This window comes from Homo sapiens, chromosome 5, assembly GCF_000001405.40.
Source record: "Homo sapiens chromosome 5, GRCh38.p14 Primary Assembly".
Classification (NCBI taxonomy): domain Eukaryota; kingdom Metazoa; phylum Chordata; class Mammalia; order Primates; family Hominidae; genus Homo; species Homo sapiens.
The window spans coordinates 56,004,696-56,012,749 of record NC_000005.10 but is presented as its reverse complement, the minus strand read 5'-3'; the positions used below and the strand labels follow the sequence as shown (position 1 = coordinate 56,012,749).

General features: G+C 38.6%; 3 annotated features.

The window, feature by feature from the left end:
- Positions 236-285: a silencer, noted in NCBI's record as "silent region_16018". NCBI's record gives its function as "represses an Ori minimal core promoter by ATAC-STARR-seq in GM12878 lymphoblastoid cells {active_cell/tissue: GM12878}" and the evidence as "EXISTENCE:reporter gene assay evidence [ECO:0000049][PMID:35858748]".
- Positions 416-545: an enhancer, noted in NCBI's record as "active region_22561". NCBI's record gives its function as "activates an Ori minimal core promoter by ATAC-STARR-seq in GM12878 lymphoblastoid cells {active_cell/tissue: GM12878}" and the evidence as "EXISTENCE:reporter gene assay evidence [ECO:0000049][PMID:35858748]".
- Positions 696-765: an enhancer, noted in NCBI's record as "active region_22560". NCBI's record gives its function as "activates an Ori minimal core promoter by ATAC-STARR-seq in GM12878 lymphoblastoid cells {active_cell/tissue: GM12878}" and the evidence as "EXISTENCE:reporter gene assay evidence [ECO:0000049][PMID:35858748]".

The following is an 8,054-nucleotide window of genomic DNA, read 5'->3' as shown; positions in this document are numbered from 1 at the left end:
TTTGACTCTTGGTAGAGACTCCTGTCTAATTACAATCGTAGGCAAGTCATTTGACTTCTCTGACTCTCACTTTCCTCATCTGTAAAATGGGGATAATAATCAGACCAGCTTTATTTGCTGATATGAGAAATAGATAAGATCATATATGTAAAATGCTTAGCATCTTGCCTGACACATAGTAAGCATTTGATAAATGGTAGTTTTTATTAGTGACTCAGCCTTTCTGTGGCTCAGTGCTGGCTTCTTCCCTCCTGCTTGTGATTGTGGGAGGTGAAGGGCCTTACACTTCCCTGCTCATAGGCAGGGCAGTTAGTGAATAGTGTAGAGGAAACTGGGGTTTCAGGTGCAGCTAGAGAGAGCAGGCTTTGCCCTGGCTTTCTGCCTGCCCAACAGCTGTGATTTAGCATCTGAATATAAAAACTGCCAGTATCCTCCTTAGCACACCACCACCACCTCCGCAGCCTGCCACCTTCTCACTCATAGTAATACACAAAGCTAGGATGTTCTCCAAGAGTTGACATTAACTCTTAACATCTGCCCAGCACTTTACAGTTTAGAAAGCCCTTTCCCATCTCTTCTCCCATTTGGCCCTCATACTATCCTTCTGCAGTAGTCAGGGACAGCTGTTGTTAGTCACATTTTACTGATTAGGAAAGTGAAATTCAGAATGATTATGTGATTTGCCAAAGGCTGCATAGTCAGGAAGTTACAGAGCTCAAATAGAGATGTTCTGACTCCGACTTAGTCATCTGCCCACCCCGTCACAGCCCAAATGCCCTCCATGTGGAATGAGGTTTTCCAAATAAAAGCATGATGTGTATGTTCTACATGTAAGATTATTTCAGCAAAATTGTAGAAATGTGAAATACTTCTTACCTCCCTCTCCAGGACCCGTTGCTTAATGTTCAAGTATGTATATGGGTCTCAGGAAAATGAGAGGACAGACCTGTCTTTCAGTTAGTTGTCTAAAAATATTTATTGTCATGCTTTAACCCTAAGCAGTAGTCATATCCTATTTAACCTGAGTGTTTGCCCTAATCTCTCATGTTTATTCAAACAAAAGGTATCCATATTTGACTTTATATAATGATTTTTTTTTTGAGATGGAGTTTCGCTCTTGTTGCTCAGGCTGGAGTGCAACAGTGTGATCATGGCTCACTGCAACCTATGCCTCTCTGGCTCAAGTGATTCTCCTGCCTCAGCCTCCCAAGTAGCTGAGACTACAGGTGCCCGCCACCACGCCCAGCTAATTTTTTTGTATTTTTAGTAGAGACTGGGTTTCACCATGTTGGCTAGGCCAGTCTCGAACTCCTGACCTCAGGTGATCCGACCGCCTCGGCCTCCCAAAGTGCTGGTATTACAGGCGTGAGCCACCGCGCCCGGCCTATATAATGATTCTTTTCCTCCCCTTCACATTCAAGAAAGGAATCTGACATGCTTATGAAAATTGAAAACAGAAAACAAGATCAGATAGAAAGCTTTGGAGAGCTGGGGTCAAACTGAGTGTGAATTCACTGTAAAAGGGAAGGATCGAAAGCCCTGTTTGCAGTAGAGAATCTTAATGGTGTGGACTGTGTTGGGCAAGCAGCTCTGGTTAAGGACACTAACGCTTGTGCAGAAGTTTTGTTTTCAGATTGGCAGAAATTAAAGATGTGGCCATGAAGGAAACAATCTTAGTCTCTGGGTCATCCACACTCATTAACTGTAAGTGATAGAAAGGGCCTGAGCTTCAGTGTCATACAAATGTGAATTAGAATCCTGGCTCTGACATTTACCCACTGTGTGACCTTGAGCAAGTTCCCTAGTGTCTCTGAGCTTTGATTTCATCTGTAAAATGGGACAGTAGTGCCACTTTCCAGATGGTCGAAGGGATTAAGTGACATGATTTAAGTAGAATGCCTGGCATGTAATGGGTGATTAATAATAAATGGCAGATATTATTTATTATCCTAAGCAATTAACAAGAATTATATGATGGCAATGTTTTCTAAACAATACCTTTACAGATTAATAATATCATTAAAATGACAAAAATCCATTGGTGATTCTTAGCCTGAACAATCTCTCTGTGTCCTCCATCAAGCTTAGTTATCAAGAACTTCAGTTATTTGCCCGCAAGCCTCTGTGTCTCCATGTGATAGGTCACCATAGGATTTAATGTCAGATTCAGGCTGCTTCAACGCTCAGTCCTATTTCACATTTACTTGAAATAGTGGTTTATCATTTTTTTGCTGTTTTTTTCTTTTTGAGACAGAGTCTCGCTCTGTCTCCCAGGCTGGAGTACAGTGGTGTGATCTTGGCTCACTGCAACCTCCACCTTCTGGGTGCAAGTGATTCTCCTGCCTCAGCCTCCCAAGTAGCTGGGATTATAGGCACCAGCTATCATGTCCAGCTAATTTTTGTATTTTTAGTAAAGATAGGGTTTCACCATGCTGGCCAGGCTGACCTCAAGTAATCCACCCGCTTCGGCCTCCCAAAGTGCTGGGATTACAGGCATGAGCCACCGTGCCTGGCCAAAACAGTGGTTTATCATCTTGATCCTGCCATTAACTAATTGTTTGAACCAGAAACTAATTGAAACCAAGTCCCAATGTCTTCAGTGAAACAAACTGCAGTGTGTGTGTGTGTGTGTGTGTGTGTGTGTGTGTGTGTGTGTGTGTAAAATAAAGGTCTGGGCCAGGCGCAGTGGCTCACGCCTGTAATCCCAGCACTTTGGGAGGCCAAGGCAGGCGGATTACCTGAGGTTGGGAGTTCAAGACCAGCCTGACCAACATGGAGAAACCCTGTCCCGACTAAAAATACAAAATTAGCCAGTCGTGGTGGCAGGCACCTGTAATCCCAGCTACTCAGGAGGCTGAGGCAGGAGAATTGCTTGAACCCGGGAGGCAGAGATTGCGGTGAGCCAAGATTGCACCATTGCACTCCAGCCTGAGCAACAAGAGTGAAACTCCGTCTCAGGGGAAAAAAAAAAGGTCTGACATTTAGGCTTTCATTATTATTTTGAGACTCCAAACCACAGATCCCCACTAAGTTATCCTAGTTTACTAGTCAGTCCATAAGTCTTCCATGATTAAACTTACTAGTAATGATAATCATAACAACAATAATAATATACCTTAAAAATTATAAAATATTTTTCCATGTCTAGCACTTTTACATATATTATCTTATTTAGATTTCATAACAACTTATTGAAAGAGATTGTATTTCCATTTTACAGATAAGGAAATGGAGGTTCAGGTGAGACAAGTAATCTGTCTATAGTTATAGAACTAATAAATGGTAGAGCCACCTGGTTTTCTATCTCCATGTCCAGAGATTCCTATCAAACCTATCATCATAAACAACAAAGAATTACCAATTGTCTAATACATTAAGGATAGTGTGCCTGGCTCTATTTGCCTAACTGGTTGCTTCCACCAAGGCCCAGCAGAACAAAAATCAGAGCCAGCAGCCACATACCCCCTTGATCCGAGCCTGGCCCCCTTGCACATATGTGATCCTGTGAAATTCACTAACACATAAAGCATCATGCCATCTGAAGGCACAAAATAGCTATTAATAATCCCCTGCATTGGTAAAGTCCCCTCCCTTCTGGAATGTTAGTTTTACAAAGATTATCATATAATTTCCTCCAGGGCAGTTTTAATGATGTGCCCTGTTTCCTTATGTGAGAAAGACTCAAGAAGAATTATTGAAACTCATTAGTTGCTTCCAAAAAGAGAAATATTTTGGTTGGCATAATGTCAACTGTTGATCCACAGGTTCAACCTGACTATTCTACTTAGAAAAAGCACAAATGAGTTTGGGTTTATTCAAGATCTGAAACCTTCTGGCCAAAGCTTAAAGGTACTTGTGTTCTTACCAGTGAAAATTCCAACCAACATGAAAAACACCTCACACAGAGGTCATCTTGTATTTCCTCAGAGATCCATGCCAGAATATGCTGAGGGCTTTCAGGGTCATGCCATGGTAGCTCCTTCCACCCATGATCTCCATATTTCTAATTAATTTTTTCCCACTTTTTGGTCTTTTTACCCAAACTAGAAAGTTTCTCCAAGAGGGAGCATGTGTTGGTGTCCAAAGTGTTTCTGCTGGAGAATGGCAGTGACAGGGCAAAGTGGGCACAATGCTATGATGAAGTTTGAGTTGACTTTACCCTCATCTTCTTCCCTCACAAACCAAACCCTGGAAACCATGCAGAAAAGCCTCTCCTGAGGCTTGGCTACAGGAGAGGCAAAAGTAGAGGGAGCAGCAAGGCAGTTGCCTCCTTCCAAGATTACACCCAGGCTAATCTGAGGCTACCATACCCTCTGCTATGTCTACTCCCAATATATCTGTGAAATTTATTGGAAAATTTCAATGCACTATTAAAAACGTCATGAGTGTAGTCAGTAAAATAAGCTTTTAACAACATAGGAAATTGTTTAGGCCATGGTGGTAATTGACAAAACAAATAAAAAATTATATGCATCTAAAAGATATTAGAAATACACCAAAATAGCTGTGTGTAGTGGCTCATGCTTGTAGTTCCAGCAATTTAGGAGGCCAAGGCAAGAGGATTGCTTGAGGCCAGGAGTTTGACACCAGCTTGGGCAACATAGGGAGACCTCATCTCTACAAAAATTTTTTTTAATTAGCTGGGCGTAATGGCACACACCTGTAGTCCCAGCTACTTAGGAGGCTGAGGCCGGAGGATCACTTGAGCTTAAGAGTTTGAGGCTGCAGTGAGCTATGATAGAGCCACTGCATGACAGAGAGACTGTGTTTCTTTATATATATAATATTTATATACAATAAATATATAATATATACATTTATAATATATAAGGAATATATAATTATATAAATCATAATTTAATTATATAATTTAATTATATAATTATATAATTATATTATATAGTATATATTATATATAATATATACTATATAATATAATTATTATATATATTATATATCCTATATTATATTATATAGTATATATTATATATATTATATTATATATTATATGTAATATATTATATAATATATAATATTATATATCATGTATCATATATTATATATATTATATCATATATAATATATAAAATATATATATTATATATGATATATGATATATCATATATATTATATATGATATATGATATATCATATATCATATATAAAATATAATATATAATATATAATATATATAATATATAATATATGATATCATATATTATATATTATATATCGTATATTATATATTTGATATATCATATATCATATATTATATATCATAGTATATTATATCATATATTATATATTATATAGTATATCATATATTATATATTATATATAGTATATATGATATATAATATATAGTATATAATATATAATGTATATATTGTATAATATATAATATATAATGTATATATTGTATAATATATAATATATATTATATATGATATATATTAAATATATAAATAATATATAATATAATATATATCATATATCATATATCATATAATATATATAATATATAATATAATATATAATAATTGTATAATTTAATTATATAATTATAATATATAAGGAAGATGTACAATTTACATATATATAAATTAACACTTCTAGGTCATAAGAGTGTGACTACAGTGAACAACTGCTATTTCCTGCCCTGTTTGTTGCAAAGATTAATTGGGATATAAAGTGTCTGGTATAGTGAGTTTCTGTCACATAGCTGGCACACAAAAAGGGGTAGCACTTAGGATAATACTTGTTATCCAGGCATTGAAAATTTGTCTCTGATTAGAGAAAACAGCTTAACATATTCCTACTTGGAAAAAAAATTCACTTTTTATTGAAATCAGAATCACAGTCTAAGTGGTTTACACTGATTTTCTGCATTTGGGTTGGACCATTTAGTCCATCTGTAGCTAGATGCTCCAGGGGTTTAAAGACATATTCAGTTTCCTTTCTACCTCCTGCCATGACATCTAACACACAAGACAGATGATTCATTCTTCATTTATTTTTCTGTCTTTATAAAGTTAGAAAAAGGTAGCAAGTATATGAAAAAAAATTCATGAGAATGATGTTAAGAGGTAAGAAGGTGGGCAAAAGAAGGGAAGGTGTAATGGCATGTCTGGGCATTGGTGACCCTCTCCTACAGCTCCACAAGGCAGAACGAGAACTGGACACAAGGAGAAGTTCAACACCTGGCAGCTTGTTTAGTTTTTCTCTTTTCTTACACAATAGAGTATGGGCTTCCTTTAATGTCACTGGGAAATTTTCTATGTGACCCCTGAGGGTCAGTACCTAAATCAATCAATCCTGGGAAAATATCTAGTTTTATGCTCTGGCCCCTGGTACCTGAAAGCAAGTTTTCAGAATCTGGTTGATCCTTCGCCTCTTCTCATTATCTGCACACAGAAATCAGATTAAGGAAGCGGATACTCTTTATTCTAATTTGAGGTTTCTTACCTATGACTGTCTTGGCAGATGTGAGAAGAGGATGCATATATTTGGAAGAGACAAAAACTTTATTTCAGCATATCAAGATATTTAAGTAAGGTATTTGTTCCAGAATTTTTTTCTCTCTACACTCTTCACTTAACAACTCTCCCTGATTGCATTAGAAAGACAAACAACAAAAACCCACTGACTAGCAGAGAATGAAGGTGCCAAACTCTTGGACTCTCAAATTCAAAAGCCTTAGTAGTAAGACAGAAAGATTTGGGGAGATACTTGCTGACCCATCTTAATTGCCCCTCCCACTAATATCAACCCCCCTACCCCACCCCCACCCCTAGGCTAGATAAAGACTTTCCAAGTTGGGGAGCGCAAAAGTAGAGAAATGAGTGTTAAGCAAAATAACTTCAGGTAATAAAGATCTAAGAAAAGGTCCTCCACCATGCCCCTTACTTGGGGTTAGCTCCAAGTTGGGGAGACATGGTGGAGGCTCATGACAATGTTGGGAATCTATTAACATCTGGAATCCTGGGAGGCAGCAGCCTAGCAGATGTTTCCTAGACCACAATGTTGTCACAGAATTAAGGTAAAGATGACCACATATAGTGCCCTAGGTAGGGAAAGTCTGAGGCAGTCCCTCTGAATCTTTTGCAGCCCCGAGAGTGGCACAGAAAAGCTAACGGGCCCCCAAGAAAGACACATAATTTAGCTGACAAAGGGTCCAAGGGGACTTACAGTCATGACCATGAGACACAAAAGTGGAAAGTAGCATGGAATGTACATCCAGAGCTCAGGTGGGGACAAGGACATACCTGCAGGTGCCTAATGTGGGGGTGATGACATCCAAGAACCACAAAGGACACAACTAGAGTGAAAGCCCAGGAGTTTGAGATCAGTCTGGGCAATAAAGTGAGACCCTGTATCTACAAAAAATCAAAAAAATTAGCCACACATGGTGGTGTGTGCCTATAGTCCCAGCTCCTTAGGAGGCTGAGGTGGAAAAGTCGCTTGAGCCCAGGAGTTTGAGGCTGCAGTGAGCTATGATCCCATCACTGCACTCCAGCCTGGGCAATAAAGCCAGACCCTGTCTCAAAGAAAAAAAAAAGGAGAGGAGAGAACAGGGGAGGGGAGGACAGAGGAGGGAAGGGGAGGGGAGGGGAGGGGAGGGGGAAGAAATTACTTAAGAATATACAGCTTATCCGCAATGATTAACCCAGGCTTTGATCACAGATCTGTCCATACATTTCTTACCATATCCCACTGTCAAGTCTTGCCATTCTATCTCCCTGGCATTATTCAGAACACCCTCTTCCTTCTCTTCCAAAATAAGGAGCTATTCTAGTTCAAGCTCTCTTCCAGTTTCTTGTTCCCCCAATTCATCCTTCACAGTATTAATATAATTTGCTTTCTGAATCACAAATCTGTTCTCAACAGTATCCTGCTTTAAAAATTCTAATATCTCCCTACAAAATAAAGTGTAAATCCCCTGTGTAGCATGGCTTTTAAGGAAGGCCTCCACCTTCTCGTCTCAATTTATTTCTCACCCCGCACTCCCTGATCTACTCTCACCAGACCTCTTGGTAATACCTTGTCCTTTCGCA